This window comes from Homo sapiens, chromosome 8 (assembly GCF_000001405.40).
Source record: "Homo sapiens chromosome 8, GRCh38.p14 Primary Assembly".
Classification (NCBI taxonomy): domain Eukaryota; kingdom Metazoa; phylum Chordata; class Mammalia; order Primates; family Hominidae; genus Homo; species Homo sapiens.
In genome coordinates this window covers 123,526,282-123,545,770 of record NC_000008.11, presented here as the reverse complement: position 1 = coordinate 123,545,770, position 19,489 = coordinate 123,526,282, and the positions used below count along the sequence as shown (strand labels likewise).

At 44.6% G+C, this 19,489-nt stretch overlaps 1 protein-coding gene across 3 annotated transcripts in view, besides 6 other annotated features; it reads left to right on the top strand.

Moving 5' to 3' along the window:
- Positions 4,039 to 4,328: a silencer, noted in NCBI's record as "silent region_19504". NCBI's record gives its function as "represses an Ori minimal core promoter by ATAC-STARR-seq in GM12878 lymphoblastoid cells {active_cell/tissue: GM12878}" and the evidence as "EXISTENCE:reporter gene assay evidence [ECO:0000049][PMID:35858748]".
- Positions 4,419 to 4,528: a silencer, noted in NCBI's record as "silent region_19503". NCBI's record gives its function as "represses an Ori minimal core promoter by ATAC-STARR-seq in GM12878 lymphoblastoid cells {active_cell/tissue: GM12878}" and the evidence as "EXISTENCE:reporter gene assay evidence [ECO:0000049][PMID:35858748]".
- Positions 4,565 to 19,489, top strand: part of FBXO32 (F-box protein 32) — a 43,318-nt gene continuing 28,393 nt past the window's right edge. For 2 of the 3 annotated variants that reach the window (NM_001242463.2, NM_058229.4), the window contains exons 1-4: positions 4,565 to 4,872; positions 10,957 to 11,069; positions 12,531 to 12,580; positions 13,781 to 13,873. In NM_001242463.2, coding sequence (NP_001229392.1) covers positions 4,757 to 4,872; positions 10,957 to 11,069; positions 12,531 to 12,580; positions 13,781 to 13,873 — 372 coding nt within the window. In that variant the 5' untranslated portion in view covers positions 4,565 to 4,756. Of the gene's footprint in view, positions 4,873 to 10,956; positions 11,070 to 12,530; positions 12,581 to 13,627; positions 13,874 to 19,489 lie in introns of those variants that run through there. The other variant, NM_148177.3, reaches the window with a different exon arrangement.
- Positions 4,579 to 4,668: a silencer, noted in NCBI's record as "silent region_19502". NCBI's record gives its function as "represses an Ori minimal core promoter by ATAC-STARR-seq in GM12878 lymphoblastoid cells {active_cell/tissue: GM12878}" and the evidence as "EXISTENCE:reporter gene assay evidence [ECO:0000049][PMID:35858748]".
- Positions 15,246 to 15,455: an enhancer, noted in NCBI's record as "active region_27875". NCBI's record gives its function as "activates an Ori minimal core promoter by ATAC-STARR-seq in GM12878 lymphoblastoid cells {active_cell/tissue: GM12878}" and the evidence as "EXISTENCE:reporter gene assay evidence [ECO:0000049][PMID:35858748]".
- Positions 16,096 to 16,296: a silencer, noted in NCBI's record as "peak7157 fragment used in MPRA reporter construct". NCBI's record gives its function as "represses an SCP1 promoter by STARR-seq MPRAs in K562 erythroleukemia cells {active_cell/tissue: K562}" and the evidence as "EXISTENCE:reporter gene assay evidence [ECO:0000049][PMID:32103011]".
- Positions 16,838 to 18,037: an enhancer, noted in NCBI's record as "BRD4-independent group 4 enhancer chr8:124539974-124541173 (GRCh37/hg19 assembly coordinates)". NCBI's record gives its function as "activates an origin of replication core promoter dependent on BRD2, P300/CBP, MED14 and CDK7 cofactors, and independent of BRD4, by STARR-seq in HCT116 cells {active_cell/tissue: HCT116}" and the evidence as "EXISTENCE:reporter gene assay evidence [ECO:0000049][PMID:35650434]".

The following is a 19,489-nucleotide window of genomic DNA, read 5'->3' as shown; positions in this document are numbered from 1 at the left end:
TACAGTTTGATGGGGAAGGTGGACATGGCTTAACCGAGTAAAAGATGGAGGTGTAAACTTTGCATAAAGATAATGACAATAAAGACCCATTGTCATTGGCACTGTTAGAAGTTCTTCATACATATTATCTCAATAAATCCTCAAAACACCCTTTGAGGTAGGTACTATCATTATTTCCATTTTACAAATAAAGGAAGTATGGTACAGAGATGTTAAGTAACTTGCCCAAGATCACACAGCTTTTTAGGTGGGGAATGTGATTTGAACCCAGTGAGTCTGGCTCTAGTCAGGGTTAGAGATAAGCCTGGGTACCAGTTGGAGTCCCACCACATTTGCTAGGTGATCTCACGCAGGCTATTCAACTTTTCTGAGCTGAAGTTTCCTCATCTATAAAATGGGAATAGCAATTCCTAGCCCACAGGTTTATGAGGAGTATGTAACAGGATTGTGTTTGTGAAGTGACTGGCACACTGTCCTCAGCATGGCAGGCATCTATCATCAATGGAATAGGACATTAAAACATATTTTTTCTAAGATACCACCTTTTGACTACCTTCCCCATCTGCCTCACTAACCCATAAAGCATCACTATTGGAGAATGCAGCTATACGAGGTAGGACTGGGGGCTGCCAACCCTCCCTTTGCTCCACCCTGCTATGTCCCTAGAAGTAATAAAATGTCAACAGGTAAAGACATGGGAATAACAGCCTTCCAGGTCAGTTCAACAACATTTGTTGATTTTTTTTTTTTTTTTTTTGAGAAGGAATCTCACTCTTATCACCCAGGCTGGAGTGCAGTGGCGCGATCTCAGCTCACTGCAACCTCCACCTCCCGGGTTCCAGCGATTCTCCTGCCCCAGCCTCCTGAGTAGTTGGGATTACAGGCACCCACCACCACGCCTGGCTAAATTTTATATTTTTAGTAGAGATGGCGTTTCACCATGTTGGCCAGGCTAGTCTCAAACTCCTGACCTCAGGTGATCCACCTGCCTCAGCCTCCCAAAGTGCTGAGATTACAGGTGTGAGCCACCGCGTTGGGCCCATTTGTTGATTTGTTGATGTAAATGTACCGTGTACCAAGAACCTTATTAGACACTGTGGCACTAAACTCCTAAGACACAGCCCTGCCATCAAGGAGCTCACAGTCCTAGACAGGAGAAGAAAACACAAAAAATCAAACACCCAGTATGTAATCTGGGTAATGTGTTATACAAAACAGTGCAGGAAAGGCAGTAGCTAAGTGTCTAAGCAATGAAACACACAGCCATGGTACATACATCATGTACACTGCACACACCATTAGGCTACATGGGGTCCTGACCAGTCTGTGCTGTGCCTTGTGAAATTCTCTGAGTATCTATCTGTCTCTATGTCTTCAGCCTGAAGCTATAACATTGATATTTTGCTTTTGGTGATTCTCAAATGCTCAGCTATGATAGGGCTTACAATCACAGAGTCTTTACAAAGTTCAAGCCCCCATCTGATTTGAAGGTAACTGTTCTGGACATAGCCTAGCAAGTTCTTTATCTTGAGGGGTCCAGCATTACAAAACTTCCCAGTAGAAACCATGTTTAAATAAGTGTCAGCTGAGCATGGTGGCTCATGCCTGTACTCCTAGTAGTTTGGGAGGCCAAGGCGGGAGGATCACTTGAGGCCAGAGTTTGAGACCAGCCCGAGCAACATAGCAAGACCCCATCTCTCCAAAAAAAAAATGTTTTAATCAACCAGGCATGGTGGTGCACGCCTGTTGTCTTAGCTGCTCAGGAGGCTGAGGCAGGAGAATCACTTGAGCTCAAGAGTTCAAGGCTGCAGTGAGCCATGATTGCACCGGTACACTCTAGCCTGGGTGATAGAGCAAGACTCTGTTTCAAAAAAAAAAAAGAAGTCTCAAATTAGATTTTTTTATGGTAAGAGAAATCTGAAATAGTCAATCACACTTCAGAAGAAGCCTGCATTAAGATATGATAGCAACAATTCTGTTTGTTTGTTTTAAGGAACAGAAAGCGGAAGGACTAGAGACAAACACTGAGGCTTCCTAAGATTAGTTATTAGACAAAAAGACAAGGACAAAAATAATTGTAATTTCCTATTTGTGCTTGAATTTTAGAAGTTAAAGAAACTTTCACCAACTTTGAGCCACTCAACCCTTTATAGTAGTCAGCTATCGACACAATAATGCTGTGTAACAGTAAATCACAAAAATCTCAGTGGCATCAACAAGACACATTTATTTCTTGCTAACACATCTGTGAGGTCAACGGGAGTGTCTGCTCCATGTGTCACATCCTGGGACACACGGATGTCACTCAAACCACTCCAGGAGCAGTGGCTACACAGGGTATGCTCTTTTCATGGAGCAGGTGAACACACAAAACATCAAGACCAACCAGGCAAGTACATACATCAGATCCTCTGCTCACATCACATCCATCAGCATCCCCTTGGCTAAAGCCAGTCATATGGCCAAGCCCATTGTCAAGAATTAGAAAAATACACATCACCAAAAAGTGTGGGCACATGACGCTACTGGAAAGGAGGGAAGAATGGGTACTAATAATTCAATCTACCACAGCTTTTAAACCATCCTGAAAGGTAGGCATTATTGGCTCCATTTTTTCTTGACAGTTAAGTAAATGGGGCCCTAAGAGTTTAAGTCATTCATCCAAGGGAGGACAGGTAGTATGCTGCTCCAGCAGAATTAGAATTCAAAACTTCTACCTTCTGGCCCTCTGTGGTCTCTACAGGTATGTAGCCAGCTTACTAATACATAACTAACCCACATTGTTCATAATCACATCCCAGGCGGGCATGGTGGCTCACGCCTGTAATCCCAACACTTTGGGAGGCCAAGGAAGGAGGATCACTTGAGCCCAGGAGTTTAAGACTAGCCTGGGCAAGATAGCAAAACCCTATCTCTACAAAAAATATAAAAAATTAGCCTGGTGCAGTGGTGAGTGCCTGTAGTCTCAGCTACTGGAGACTGGGGCCGAGGTGGGAGGATGGCTTGAGCTGGGGAGGCTGAGGCTACAGTGAGCCATGATCACTCACTCTAGCCTGAGTGACACAATGAGACCCTGTCTCAAAAATAATAATAATAATAATCACATCCCTTAATTATGCAGATACCAATTCCCTCCAACAGAGACCAGACCCAACACTGCCTCATTTGTTAGCACCATCACAGTGTTTAACATTTGTTTGGGACTTCTTCAATGTTTTTACAAGCTTTTTTTTTACTATTACTACACTAATAAATTATTTACGGTGGGAAATCTAAATCAGAAAGCTCTGGCTTCTTGAAAACAAACTTTATTAAAAACGTCTTCCCAGTCCAACATGTAGCCTCATAGGGCACACACAATTTCTTTGCCTGAGCCTTAAAGATTACACCGAGTCAGTGGACTAGATGATATTGATGGCTGCAGAGAAAGAAGAATGGAAGAATGAAGTTTGAAGCTAATGCTTGAGTATGGGATTTTTACTCTGCTGCTGCTGTCCTGTGCAAACTAATTGCCAAATAGACCAGGCTGTAAAGCATCATAACTAGAGGTGATGAAGGGCAAGAAGCCACCCTCATGCCAGCAGCCTCCCGTATCCATTCACTTATTCACACAAATAGTTGTTGAAGGCCTGCACTGGGCCTGGCAGGGTGCAGGGGCTGAAATGCCTCCGGAACAAGACAGACCAGCTCTCATGGAGTTCCCACTGCAGACAGGGGTAGATTGTTGTAACAACAGCAAAAAGTAAAAGCAAACAGGGTAGTTTCAGATTGTACTGTAGCATTGGCCCTGGGTACATCATTTAACCCGTCTCTTAGAGGGTTCGGGTAGGATAGGGGCGCTGTTCTTTTTCTCCACTCCCAACCTGCGGGAGCCAGATACCTCCCAGGGCTTCCTCTCCTTCCCCTCCTTTGCTGCCCCAGGGGCAGGTCTGAAGGAGGACTGGTTAGTGACAGCTAAGGGGCCCGGAGGGCTGGGAGGCTGTCCCTCCTCCCCGCTCCAACCCCCGCGCGCTAGGGCGGGGTTGGGGCAGTGAGCGAGGTCAGGAGGCTGCGCCCCCTACTCCCCGCCCGGCGGGCGCGGTGCCGGCCCCAGCTCTGCGGACGGCCCGGGAGGCTGATCTGGCTGCGGAGGTCGATCCTGATAGCTCGGGGGCAGGAGGGGGGCTGGCCCTGCTCCTCACGCCCACCCCGCAGGGACCCAGACGCCCCTCCGGCCCCCTCCCTGCACCCCGTCAGCCCGGGAGCTGCAGGAGACCGGGGCGCATCTTTCCAAGCGCCGGGCCTCGCTCTGGGACAACGGTGTCCTGGGGGCGGGGAGGGCGCGCGGAGGTGCCAGGGGCGGCGGGGTACCCGGCCCGGCAGCACCGCTTCAAGTTTCCACCGGCGCGGTTGTGCAACCGGGAGGGGAGCGTGAGCCGCAGGCGCCTCGGAAAACAAGCCGAGCCCATAAACAAAGCCACGTGGCCTCCGGGCCGGGGGGCCGGGCTAAGAGCGGGCGGCTCTTCCGGCAACAAAGAGCTGCGGCCGGCTGCGGGGATAAATACTGCGGCAGCTACTGCCGCGCAGCACTCCCGGAGCCTGCAACGCTTGAGATCCTCTCCGCGCCCGCCACCCCGCAGGGTGCCCCGCGCCGTTCCCGCCGCCCCGCCGCCCCCGTCGCGGGCCCCTGCACCCCGAGCATCCGCCCCGGGTGGCACGTCCCCGAGCCCACCAGGCCGGCCCCGTCTCCCCATCCGTCTAGTCCGCTCGCGGTGCCATGCCATTCCTCGGGCAGGACTGGCGGTCCCCCGGGCAGAACTGGGTGAAGACGGCCGACGGCTGGAAGCGCTTCCTGGATGAGAAGAGCGGCAGTTTCGTGAGCGACCTCAGCAGGTGAGGGGACCCGCTACCAACTTCCAGCCCCCGCGAAACTGACCCGGGCTGGTCTGGGGGGCGCAGGGACGGCGAATGAGGGGCAGGCAGGGCTGGAGCGGGCTGAGGAGGGAGACCCTGACCCGGAGGGTGGGACTACGGGGCCCGATTTCTGCAGAGGTCTTCGGACCACCGGAGACAGGGAATTCGGTTTCTCTTATTGTTCAAGGTCAGTGTCTCCAAGTGGACACGACTCCTTACAGAACACCTGGTCCCTCTGAGAGTCTGATGACATTCGCGGATCGTGTCCCCAAACGTTCGCTCAAACTTAATCACACAGCTTTAGTGGTCCCTGCTTTAAGGACACCGGAGTCGCGCACTTTGCCCATGTGGGGGCGCGGGCGGGTGGGCTGAGCCCCTTCACCGCGGGGTGGCCCGGCTCCCAGCGCCCAAGCGCTGTGGACGCGACAGGTGACGGGATCCGACGAAGGTCCCGCCTGGAGCGCTTCCAGGCCCTGCCCAGGCACGGGCAACCACGAAGTGGCCGGGAGGATGAGTAACCAGGAAGGGACGGCCAGATGGTCCCTGGGGCAGCCGCTTACTGGGCGGACTTGCGAGCGGTGGAGGCTTGGGGCTGCAGAGGTGCAAAGGAGGGAAGGGGGCAGGGGATGAATCCCACAAGAGCTCTGCTTCTGGGAGGACAGGGCTCTTGCACCTGTTTCCTCGGTGGCCCTCTCGGTCGGTCTGCTTTGTATAGAGTGCACTCCGTTTCCAGGGGTGCCTGTCAGCTGCGAAAAGCCTGCCTGGCCCCGGTGAGCCTCTGGATTCGAGGCCTCACCTGAGCTCTGTGGTCTGGCGGGAAACCTGAGGTCCGCTGCGCTCCCTGCTCAGCTTGGCTAACGATGCCAGCGCCGGCTAGTACGCAAGGTAGCCTGGAATTTCTCAGCCCCTGACCTCGACAGTTGACTTTCAGAGACTCTCAGCATTTAGCCCGGTGAGCGGGGGCGATGAAAGTGATTCCAGAATGGACTGGTGCAGCCAGAGTCACCCTTGGGAGCCTTTTCCTGCCACCTTTGGTTAAAACCATGGGCCCCTGCACCCTTAAATTGACTTCAATGGAGAATTCTGTTTCTGGGCCAGGTTCCCGCTTACTGAGATTTACCAGTCGTTGCTTGGATGAAGCATTGGCAATAAATTTTGAGAAAACTATCAAGAAAATGTGGTTATTTTGGCAACTTGAACTCCCGTGCCTCCCATTTGTTTGTGATTTGTAATGCATCAAATTCCCATTGTCTCACAATGTAAAGAAAGACATTATTTAATTCTGGGGGTCTGTCCGGAGAGACTTGAGCGTATTAACCACCAGCATATAACCATTTACGTTGGAGTTACTTGGAGGCTGTCCCAGGGGAGTTTAGGGACCACCATAAGGAAATCTTATTTACGTAAAATCAAGTAATTTATTTACGGGAAAGTAAGACCAACTGCTATTGACAGACTATGTCTTTTATCGACTGGAGTTACCAATTATGCCTAAATTATTCTCCCTCAACAAAATGGGAACCTTCCTTCCTTCCTCCTTGTTCCTAAGGACAATGATCTAATATGTTGGTACTTTATTTCTGTATACAAGTTCAGGTTCTTTCTAGAAAAGTGCCGAAAGGGTCTGAAGAGTCATGTTAGAGCTGCTCACCCAAATATAATTGCAGGATGCTCCTCAGTGGAGAACAGATGATTGAGTTCAGCAGAAGATTTAAAATGTAGGGTCGTATTAATACTTACCCTACTCGGGAGGCTGAGGTGGGAGGATGGCTTGTGCTCAGAAGTTCAAGGCTGCAGCGAGTCATGACTGTGCCACTGCGCTCCAGCCTGGGCCACAGAGCGAGACCCTGTCTCTAAAAATAAATAAAAATTTAAAATTTGTTTTAAAATACCCTATACCGGCATCAGGAGAGAAACTGGTGTCACTCTCCTTTAGAAATAGTGGTATCTCTGTCTTCACAGTATGGAAGACCTGAAGATGGTCTTAACTTACCACAAAAGTTTAGACTGGGCTGGAATCAGGTGGTTTCCTGCACAGCCCCCCTCCCGTGTCCTGTTCATGAGCCTCTTTTTCTTCCCATTTCACACCTGAGCTGGAGCTGTCACATCCATCATCATTACCGCAAATAGTCATTGATATACTGACCACCTGTGGTCCTTTGAGTCAGCGTTTAGGAATCATTTGGTAGCCTCCTAGCAAAGCAGCTGGCTGTTTGTTTGCAGGGTATTTTTTTTTCCAGCAACTGTAAACAATCCCTTCCCTGCTTAGCATGAGAAGCCTGCAACTTCTTAAAAGCAGTTGGCCTTCTGTGGTCTGGGTTTGTCATCTCAAATATCCTCACTGTTTTTGGTCTTGGTGATGTTTCCCCGTGATGTCAGGTTTGGACTGCGTGCCTGCCTGCACAGGTGAAGCTGAATGCCTCTCCTGTTATGAGAAAACAAAAGGCAGGCCCTTAAGCGGGGAGGGACCGTGAAACAGAGAACTACAGAGACATGGTAGACTGACTTCTCTAATTCCACAGACCATTCTGCAAACGGCCCAAACAAGAGCCCGGGATGAAGGATGCATTTGGTGGTTTTCAGCCTGGGGTTATTGTTTCGTGTTGACCAAGTCTTGTCCACACAGCACACCTATTCTGGACTCAGCTGGCCATCTTCTCTGTGGTCTAGGACTCCAACCTTCTCCAGTGTAGAATGTTACAAATCCAGTCCCAGCCATGTGTCCAGGAGTGAGATCATGGGAGGATTTAAGATAAGCTTAAAGCAGGACCCCTTCTCAAAAATGTTGAAATTATATAAAATAGAAGGGGAATGGCAAGTGTTAAATATGCTGGGGCAGATTTAAAATGCAAGGAAAGAGCTTGGCGTGAATTGGGATGATCCAAGAATGCTTCAAGGAAGTGGTGGTTCAGGCACCCGCACAGCCTTCCTCAGCAACCACCCCCTCACCGCCCACCCCCAGGATGAGTAACCTAAGCTGTCTGAGCCTCTGCCACTCTTTTCTAAGCCTACACTTCTGTCATTGAAGACTGACTCAAATGTTACTTTACTGTATGGCTGAGGCTGGACCCGGAAGCAGGAAGTTTACCTTGGTGACTGGATAAAAATAATAGTTAAGATTTTATGAGTGCTTACTGTGTGCAAGGCACTGTTCTATGAGCGTTATACACTAGGCTGTTTGTTTCACCAGAGCATTCCGGGTGCTAGCCTTGTGAGTGTGGCGATCTAGAAATGCGTCAGTAAATTGGTGTAGAAATCTCTACTGGCTTTAATCAGGCTATATAACTACAATTAAACCTCTGGGGGCACGTCACAGCTTTCTTAAATGGTTTTTATTGCAAATGAAATGAGAAATAGGGCTTTATTTTTTTTTTCATTCCCTTCTTTATCTGCTGCCAAAACAGACTTATTTATGGTCTGATTTTGAATTTTTTCTACATTTTTAAAAAGTTGCCTTAAAGTATCTTGGTATGTGGTAATGTGGGGCTGTGCAGTGGATCTTTTTCTTATTCTAGGCCTGTGCCTATAAAAATCAAGATTAGTAAATAGTGACTACAAAATAGCGACTTGCTGGCTATTATTGAATTTAGTGAAGAAAGCAGCCTCGTTGAGATGGTTTTGCTTATTAAAAAAAAAAAAATCCTGTGCTCCAATTCCTAAATGGTGGTGGTTTTTCTTGTTAAAAATTTCAGTTGTAATTTTCCATTGGCTTTGCATTTTCTTGAAAAGGACACGATTGAACTCTCAAAATAGCCTCTAACTGAATATATTATTGCTTAAAAGAAAACTTATAAGTAGGCAACACAAATAAACCCCATAGCCCTTCTTTCCAGGCCCTTCCTCCGGAATCTAAAACCTAATACCAAGTGAAAATATAGGGTTTCTCTTTGGTTAAAACTTTTCTACATTCTACGGTGAGAGAACATCATCAATTATGTAAAATTCTTTCTAAACTAGCTTTTGAAATGAGTCACTCAGGCTTAAAGCAGGTTATTGTAGCTTCTGAGGAAAGTGAGTGCTCCAATTCCTTTAAAGAACGTTTTCAATTGGAAAAGAGTAAGATGAAATCTAAATATTTGAACTTGCTAAGTAATGATCACAATCTATGGCCCAGGCTCAGAAAATCTGCTACTGAACCTTAAATGTTGAGAATAAGACAACCTCATTTTATGATTCTCTACATGTGGAATTTATACTGTAGGTTTTTGTTGTTTGTGGGGGTTGTGTGTGTTCTTTCTAAGTAAGCCTTCATGTGGTATTTTTGCACACAAAATGTTCTAGCTTTGCTTTCTAAAGCTGTTCTCAGCTGTGGTACATCATGGACCACTCAAATGACCTTCCATCGTTTGCTGTTTTTCTCAACGTTGATTGAAATGTCTTAAGTTAGCCTCAGGAATTCAGTTCTGTTCTTTGTTCTGTCCCTCTTTTCCTTCTGACCTTGGAGCAGATAATCAGCTGGTCAGTGATTCTGTACCCCTATAGTCATGCAAATAGACAGAAACACACTCATGTGTTGTACAAAGCCTGGCCCAAAATACTCATCCTTGGCTTGCTTTTGAAGGTGCCTCTGAGAGGACATTTCTGCAGGACTCTATCTGAAACCTAAAAATATCCTGTTTCCCTGAATGAAAAGGAGAAAGCTATTGAGTTTAGTAGGAAACTCAATAAATGGTATTAAGCACGGCCTTATGAAGGAAGATTAACAAATGATTATTTATCATGTTTGTCCTTAAGGGTCCAGAAAAGCAACACTGAGTATATTGTTGGAGATGTCACATGTAAGCATATTAGCAAGATACTTATACTAACCGAAGTGCTACTTGAGAGACTATTGTATTAATAACAAAAAGATACTAGAAGTTGCTTCAAATCTTTTCTCTTCTACCATTTACACAATGCCAAGGAAATAGAGAAGTGCAGATGTACATAATTGTACCCAACAGATGTATATCTGAAAAAGATGTAAATCAAGTTACATTTTAAATTCAGCAGAGAAACTCAGAACATTAAAGGAGTATAAAATATCGGTGGTATAGCAAAAAAAAAAAAACCCCTAATTTATGTTTTACCAGTTGGCATTATAAATCCTGTTTTACATACTTTGTGGGGGTTGAGGGAGTTAGGGAACCTATCTTATCATACCTCAGTATTTCTCCTGCATTCCTTCTGTGGAAATTATTCAGAGATTTACTTTGAAGTTACATTGTATAGTAGAATAGTTCATTACCCCTCAAATGATTGCTCAGCCCACTGAGGCAAATAAGCGTCTGGCCCGAGATGAGCCTGCCCATCCTTCAGTGACCTGTGAATTAGGCAGGTACATCCAATGTCTGTTCAGCCCTTATAAATTTATCAATTATAAGTTTACCTTGTATAGTCAAGACCCAAGGTCTTCACCTCACAGCATGATGCCTAGTGTGTTTTAGTCAAGGCACTACATAAAACCTAAGCAACTGGCACTACACCCAAAGCATCTCCTAGAAATGGAGTTTATAAGTCAGATTTTTGTAAACGTGATTGTGTTTTAAAGACATGTTAGAAGGATGCTACTTAAAAGCAGCTTAAGTATACTTTAAATGGATGAATTGTATGGTATGTGAAGTTTATCTCAATGAAACTTTTTTTTTTTCTAAAGAAGCAGCAGCAGCTTGGGGTAGATACTTTTGCAAAATGAAGGCATTGTGTAGTACAGCGATACCAGTAATCACCCCTCCCCCCATTCGTCATTTTTGTTTAAAGTAATATGGTAATACTCTGCATTGCTCTTAGTTGAAGAGTACAGTGCTGTGTGTCAAATTACAATGCAAGGCACTGTTAGGGAATTCAAAAGAAGTAGAAGCTCCCATCCCTGCCTTCCCCACAGATGTGAACATGTTTCATCCTAAAGGAGAAGCCTGTGACTGTATAGACTCTTTTTTCTTTGAGTGATCATTTTATTGTTTTATTTTGTTTGAGAAGCCTGTATGTTTGTTTGTCTTATAACTCAGTGAGTTATTTATAGAAACAGCTCAGGTTCATGTATAGCTGTTACAGCTCATCCTCTTTGTCTTCTGTTATTCATAGTTACTGCAACAAGGAGGTATACAATAAGGAGAATCTTTTCAACAGCCTGAACTATGATGTTGCAGCCAAGAAGAGAAAGAAGGACATGCTGAATAGCAAAACCAAAACTCAGTGTAAGCCATTTGTTTTGAACTTCAGAAAAAAGCTGTTTGAAGATAGTTATGATTGGTTCTTGGATGAAAAAAAATAACACCTCCCATGTCACACATCTGCCTCAGTGTTTTACTGTGTGTCACTGACAGAGGTTACTGAGATCTCAGCACTCAGAAACCTGGCTGTGCATTTTACAAGCAAGATTAACATGTTCTTTATAGTCTTGTTTGTAAGTCAGTTGCTAGTTGAGGGCCTTTTTTTCCTGCTAGTCATTCGTATTTGACATAGGTTATTTTACAGTGATGTGGTCAGCTGAATCAGTTCCAGTATGTACTTTTATTTTGAACTGTTTTGAGGCTTTGAAAACAGATTTTTCTCCCTCTTTCCTTGTATAAATCTTATTAACATTTCTAGATACTATATATAAGTATCAGCAGAGAATATAAAGTGGTATTAATAGCAGGAATTACAGGTTATTTTATCTGTAATGCATGTTTTCCTCATGTTATCTGTTTGATTTTCATGGACTTATGTAAGTTTCAGGTTTGGCATTTAAAATAAACTTGTACTTGAGTATTAGGGGTGTTTTTTTTTTTTTTGGTGTTTTTTGTTTGTTTGTTTTTGTTTTTTGAGACAGAGTCTTGCTCTCTCACCCAGGCTGGAGTCAGTGGCATGATCTTAGCTCACTGCAACCTCCGCCTCTTGGGTTTAAGTGATTCTCGTGCCTCAGCCTCCTGAGTAGCTGGGATTACAAGCACCTGCCACCATACCCGGCTAATTTTTGTGTTTTTAGTAGAGACAGGGTTTCGCCATGTTGCCCAGGCTGGTCTCAAACTCCAGGGCTCAAGCGATCTACCCCGCTCTGTTCACAGCATGTAACTCAGTCTGTCAAAGCCTAATTTCATTTTTGCGGGGGGACGGAGTCTCGCTCTGTCGCCCAGGCTGGAGTGCAGTGGCACAATCTTGGCTCACTGCAACCTCTGCCTCCCGGGTTCAAGTGATTCTCCTACCTCAGCCTCCCAAGTAGCTGGGATTACAGGTGCCTGCCACCACGCCTGGCTAATTTTTGAATTTTTAGAAGAGACGGGGTTTCACCATGTTGGCCAGGCTGGTCTCGAACTCCTGACCTCTAGTGATCCGCCTGCCTCAACCTCCCACAGTGCTGGGATTTCAGGCATGAGCCACTGCATCTGGCCTGTAATTTCTTATGGCATAATGCTTTAGAAAAAAAAATATAGTAGTTTGGAGCTTTGGTATATGAAATCTGGCTCTCAAAGATTTAGAGTGCTTCAGACAAAGCAACTTATAGCCCCAGTATTTCTACACTGCAGAAATTAAGCACTTGAAACTTCTTCAGTTGTCAGTAGACTCCTTATCTTTTTTGTCAAAACTTTTAAAACTTTGGAATAAATGAAATGAAATGTCTTAAATCTTGAGCATGTTGCAGATGTTAAAGCTGTGTATTCTTTTTGTCTCTGTAGATTTCCACCAAGAAAAATGGATCTATGTTCACAAAGGAAGTACTAAAGAGGTGAGCATCCCATTCATTTACTAAGTTATACTGAACCTTATCCCTTCCTGATAGCGCAGGGAGGGATATGGTAGGGAGGGAAATTACTTCGGATCATGAGAGTCTTCTTGGATGTGGGAGATGGCAGCTATTAGTCTATTATTTAGCCAACCATCAGAGTTTAGAACAGAGAGAGAAAGAAGCAAAAGTCACTAGGTGGACCCTCTAGTCGTTCAATGAGATTATGTATGTAAAAGTGCTTTATAAAGATTGACATGCCCATCTCAACCATATTATTATATTGCCCTGGGTTTTGCCTCAGGGCAAGGTCTCCCTTTTGTTCTAAGATCTCTTTGGACTTCAACTCAGTTAAATTTCAGTCCTGGAAGCGCTAATCACTAAATATAGTAGAAGTTTTCAGTGCCTGCTCAGTGTGATGTGGGAGGGGACAAGACATTGTAATAACTACATTTGTATGGTACTTTATAAAGCCCTTTTATGTATATTTTCTCTCTGCACAGGCATTTGCTAAAATAACTAGGATACAGGCAATATGAAAGAATTTCTATGACCGTCAGGGACCTCAGTGAACATCTAGTCCCCTCTGTGATTTGAGGTCCAGAGGGGGGTCACTGATATTCCCAAGACCACCCAGATACTCAGAGCAGAGCTGGGACTTTATACTCCCAATTCCCTCTGTGTTCATAGGTTAAAAGATCAAAACTTTTGCTTCCTCCCAAAACCTTATAAACACTTCTGATGATCACAGTGAGAAAAGCACTATTGGTATAAGGCAAGGTGGTGACACAGTTGGTGCAGGTAGGTCTAATTCTCCTCCCAGGAGTACGTTACAGTCACCAACCATCATGGCCTCCCATGTCCCGTACCCTGCTCCCAGTCTTTCCTTAATAAGCAATTACTTATGATTTTTCCAGACTAATATGTGGAAAAATTATAAGCAAGGTCCCAAATGGTACAAGTCACGAAAAGGGGGTGTTTGACATGTGAGGGGCTGACTGAGGCAGCTGCTGGCTGTGTTACCCATCTTGGTGGCTCTCAAGGGCTTGTGGGTACAGGAAAGAAGCCAGTGCCCCAGGTCACCTAAGACAGGCATCAAGCTCATTCGGCAAAATCCAGTTGGGTTGTTCTAACTGGCTCATTCTTACTTGGGTGACCTCTGCATGGCAGGAGTAACTTCTGTGCCTTTGTTTTCATGTTCAGCGCCATGGATATTGCACCCTGGGGGAAGCTTTCAACAGACTGGACTTCTCAACTGCCATTCTGGATTCCAGAAGATTTAACTACGTGGTCCGGGTAAGTCTCAAGTGCCTAAAGGCTCATCCAGGCTCTTTCCCAAGTTGAATCATCTCTTTGGGTTGTCTTGAAGTAGTTTCCCCAAAAAATTACTTTTTAGGACCCTAAGAATTTTGAGGCAAGCAGAAAACAGACCCCTCAATCTCCTTCTTCCCCAACGTACTTCAAGTTCTTAAGTGAGTCCTACTAGGATGTCCCTGAGATTGGCCAGGATGGGCAGGGGCCGCCATAATACCCCAGTGAGTCGGTTAAAGAGCCATTCTCTTCAAGTGAAATTTCACACCAGGCCCCTTCCGAGCCCACCCTGTGGATACGTGGGAACATGTCACAGGCAACGCTGGCCCTGGCAACAGCCTTAGCAAGAGAGAATTCAGCAGGAAGCAAGCCCTAAAGCACTTTGGACTGTTTCAAAACCCTGTATCTCTGACTGTTCTCACTGTCTCCCTCTTGTCCTACTTCAGCTGACTCTGGGGGACCCCCAAGGCATTCTCAGATGAGGCCACAAAACTGGATGAATTAAAGCACCTCCGTGTTTTGTGCCTGTGGTTCCCTTCCACCCCCATGTGATAACAGTATTCAGTCCCATGTCCACCTAAAGCTTAAAACTGCCTGTTTTGGCCGGGTGCGGTGGCTCACACCTGTAATCCCAGCACTTTGGGAGGCCAAAGCGGGCGGATCACCTGAGGTCAGGAGTTTGAGACCAGCCTGGACAACATGATGAAATCCTGTCTCTACTAAAAATACAAGAAAATTAGCCAGGCGTGGTGGCGGGTGCCTGTAATCCCAGCTACTTGGGAGGCTGAGGCAGGAGAATCGCTTGAACCCGGGAGGCAGACATTGCAGTGAGCTGAGATTGCGCCATTGCACTCCAGCCTGGGCAACAGGAGTGAGACTCCATGTAAAAAAAAAAAAAAAAAAAAAAAAATCTGACTGGATCTGTTGCTTTCCATTTTAAACCGTATTTTGAGAAAAAAAAAAAAAGGCTGGGTGCATTGGCTCACGCCTGTAATCCCAGCACTTTGGGAGGCTAAGACAAGCAGATCATGAGGTCAGGAGTTCGAGCCCAGCCTGGCCAACATAGTGAAACCCCGTCTCTACTAAAAATACAAAAAAAAATTATCCAGGTGTGGTGGTGGGCGCCTGTAATCCCAGCTACTCGGGAGGCTGAGGCAGGAGAATCGCTTGAATCCAGGAGGCGGAGGTTGCAGTGAGCGAGATGGCGCCATTGCACTCCAGCCTGGGCGACAGTGCGAGACTCTGTCTCAAAAAAGAAAAAGTTAATGAGCAAAATATTAATGATGAAGGTAGTAAAGCAAATCAGCTTAACCATGACTGTCACATTATTATTTCTAATTGGTTTATTATTTTGTTCTCCCTGCCTGCCCTCCAAAGCTCCCTTGTGTATTTTTGTCAGCAGTCAACCTGGGAGGTAGCAGCTGTTTGGGTTTTAGGCTTAGAAGTAGGAGGGAATTTTCCCCCTGTGGGTGTGGTTGGTTTGGTTTTTATTTTCTTTTTCCTGGGTTGTTGTGCTTCTCGGTGCCATGTCACTGAGTCAGATGATTGCAGAGGCTCAGCCAGGGTGATGACATTCAAGGCCCCTTGAGGCCTGGATCCTTCACCTGTCATCTGGGCAGATGCAGGCTTGGCTGTCCAAAGTGACCTGATAAAAACGCAGGCCTGCAAGAAGCAGGTTAGGAGCTGTGAGCTGAGCCTGTGACCACATGAGCAGATCTATTCACTCTTCGGCTAAGCTCTTCTTCCAATCCAAAAGGGATAAAAATAAGAGACCTTCTTGGGTGAAATGTTCATGCCATTCAGTGTGACTCTGCAAGTTCACGGAGGTCACCTAGTCCTCCTAGGGCCCACAGACTAGTCTAGGCTGGTTGGAAATGGGCCCAGGATGATCTGGAAACTTCCATTGCTAAGAATCCAAATAGTTTCCATCTTCTAGGTATTAGAGGAAGACACTTAGATCTGATGTCTTATTACAAACTGATCTTCAAAATGGTCAGTTTTTAGATGGTCTTCCTTTCTACCTGCTTTTCCTTTTACAAGAAATAAAGCAAGGAACAAGCATCATGATAGTGAAAATCTATTTCATCAATATGTTCATTTTCACCTTTTATCTTTTCAATAACCCTTTAAAATATGGGTGCTTTTATTATCTCTCTTTAAACAAATGGCAGTACAGTAAGATAAAATGACTTGTCCATGATCACAGAGGGATGAAATCAAGACTTGAAATCTGGGCAGTCAGAGTCTACACTTTTAACTGCTACCATGAGTTATCTGTGAGCAGAGGAGCTGAAGTAAAATAGCCTGAGGGCAGGTCCTAGCTCCACTGATTTCAAACTGTCTCAACCTCCCTAAGACATGGTTTCCTCCTCTGTAAGAATGACTTACCTCAACTTCCCGGGGTAGCTGGGGAAACTCAGTGATATAAACAGAAGTACTTTGGACACTAGAATCTATCTGCTGTGCAAAGTCAGCCGCTAATGTTTACTGTTACCCACTTACCAAAATTATTGATTTCCCCCTAAAACGCTTTTCAGTTGAGTTGATTAAAATGTTTTCTACTTTTAAAAAACTAATTGGTGAATCTGGCAATTGCTTAAGACTCAGCACAGAGAACACGTATCTAAGAGTATCTAATTGTAAAATACATCATGAGCGCTTTGCTTTAAATAATCTTAGAGAAACTGCTGAATGCTTTCAAAGTTGTTAGGTTCAGAAATAGTGGAAAAATATTTCTATTTTGCAAAGAACAATTTTTCCCCATCACTATTAGAGACCTCTGTAATTTGAGGAATAATATGTTATTTTTATGAAGAACTTAAAACATTTTAATGATAGCCACTGTGTTTTGAGGTTTTCCTTCTTAGGAACTCAGTATACTTCTCATACATTCTTATCCTTAAACCAACTCTGCAAAGTAGCTTGCCAGTATATTATCCCCATCGTACTACTTTGACCTAATGTTGTTTAAATGCTACAATGATTACTGGTTTTGCTAAGGAGCTAAACTGATTTTAAGGGCCATTTGGGAAAAAAACAAAAACAAAAAAAACATTCAAAGCCTTGAGAGCCAAATACATTTTCTGAAAATCTGTTATGTTCATGCTGGTTGTCATCTTCCAAAAAAGAGACATGCAGAGGTAATAAAAGAGATGGCTAACACTGCTATCTCAAAATATTATCATTTTTATCACTCAGCATGAAAATTTCACGAATGTTTAGAGTCAGAAAATTTTTTACTATAACTTAGAAAGATGTTTATATAACATTTCTACATCATTTTCACTGGCTACAAGCTACATGCATTGGCCCTGCTCCCTCCCCTACACAGCCCCAATGACATAAAGACAGTTCTAGCTATGTGTTTGAAAGATTTCACATCTCTAGAAACAGCAACTTACCTACTTGTGGAAGGACATTTAAAACATAGTTTACCCTATACCTCAAGACCAACACATTTTGGAAATTCCCTTGAGGAACTGGAAGGATTCCAGAGGCCAAGCCAGTCAGACTGGAAGTTTGTAACCATGAGTAGGTGAGTGCTGACTAACCAGGCCACAGAGAGGTCAGAGGATCGAGTGAGTCTTGGGCATCAAGTCAACCAGGAGAAGGTTTCGGAGACCATCACCCATGTAATGGCTCTGCAGTGAGCCTGCTGTGACCCCAGTGGTTCTCAGTCCTGGCTGCACATTCAAATCACCTTCGAAGCTTGTTAGACTACAGAAGCCCACCTCTGGAGCTTCCGATTTAATTAGTTGAAGGTGGTACCCAGGCATTGCTACTTTTAAAATATCTGCCTGGTGATCCCAATCAGTTTTCAAGTTTACAGACCAGCTCAGAAACTGCTTTGGAGCCCAGATATTATGTTTTGCATATTAATGAGAATTTTTAAACAAAGTGCACTGAGACATTAAACTCTAGATACGACTTCTGGGGCGTGTACTGTGGTCCATCAGGAATTTAGTGATGGAAAGAGGACAGCCCCTCCTATATTCCAGCTCAAAGTTCGAAGCTTCTTTTTTTGTAGTACTTTCTGCAAATCAATCATTTTACTTCTCTAAACTGTAAATCTAGGATAACCATACCTGTATTGAAGCATTTTTATGAGAATGAAAAAATAAAATGTAAAAATAAAGGCAGTGGGTGTGAAAGTGTTATATAAATTTCAAAATGCAATGTAACTTACTTTTCAGAAAGTTAAGTAGGATTTTAGCATATCCAACCATCTTTCCAGGGTGATTAAAACTTGAAGACTGAATTCATGGGCCAGATACAGTTGGGGACAGAGATTAGCCTATTTGCAATGGAACTTTTGAGGTCCTTAGAATGGTCGTACATTTTTAAAATCTTTATATTCTCCCCAGTGAGGCTCAGTGACAGAAAACACCAACATTTACCCAAACAACTGCCCCGTTCCCCTGGTCCTTAGTGAGTCCCTTGAGAAACTGCATTATTGGGATAAGATGGAATTAAGATAAAAACTGAGCAGTACCAATAAAAAATATGACTTTAAAAGGGCATGAAAGCAACCGTTATTTAGTATCTGTTATTGCTGAGTACAATGTAATATAGAACTTGAACTTGAATTCAAACTTACACTCCTCCAAAACCTGTATTATTTTCTCCAGGCCCTGCCACTAGCCAGTGAGGGAAATAGATGAAATAGATCTGACTCTACCTTGAAGGTCTGCAGCAGGGGTCAGCAAACTTCTAGCCCTCAGGTCAATAGCCTGCCGCCTGTTTTTGTATGGCCCATGAGCTAAGAATGATTTGTACGTTTTTCAATGTTTTAAAAAATTGAAAGGAGTATAATGTTTCATAACACATGGAAATTATGTGCAGCTCAAATTTCAGTATCCATAAATAAAGTTTTATTGGAACACAGCTACGCTCACTCATTAGATATTGTCTATGGCTGTTTTTGTGCAAAATGGCAGAGTTGGGTTCAGAGTTAGCAACAGAGAGCTTGTAGCCTGCAAGCCTAGAGTATTTACTATCTGGATTTCTACAGAAAAAAAAAAATTATTGCCCCCTGCCATACAGTCTGACTGATAGCCTGAGAAGTATGCATTAAAAGAAGTTACCTACCCTGACACCATGAGAATGAATTTGAAAAGAACCAAGATGTGGTAGAGGCAGATAGGCTATGAAGTTTCAGAAGGGTAGCATCACTGTGGGCAGGATATTCAAGAAAGACTTCAAGGAAAATGTGGGGTTTGAACTGGTCTTGAGTAGGAGTAGAACTTAGGGGAACTGGTTTGAGGTAGGCAGCTGTAAGGTCTGTTCAGAGATCAGTGAGCAGAACATTCAAGTATGGACAGAAGTAGCACAGTGTGCTTTAGAATATAGGATCATGGGCTGGGTGTGGTGGCTCACGTCTGTAATCCCAGCACTTTGGGAGGCTGAGGCAGGCAGCTCACTTGAGGTCAGGAGCTCAAGACCAGCCTGTCCAACATGGTAAAACCCCATCTCTACTTAAAATACAAAAATTAGCCAGGTGTGGTGGCACACACCTGTTAATCCCAGCTACTCGGGACGCTGAGGCAGGAGAATCACTTGAACCCGGGAGGCAAAGGTTGCAGTGAGCCAAGATCGCGCCAC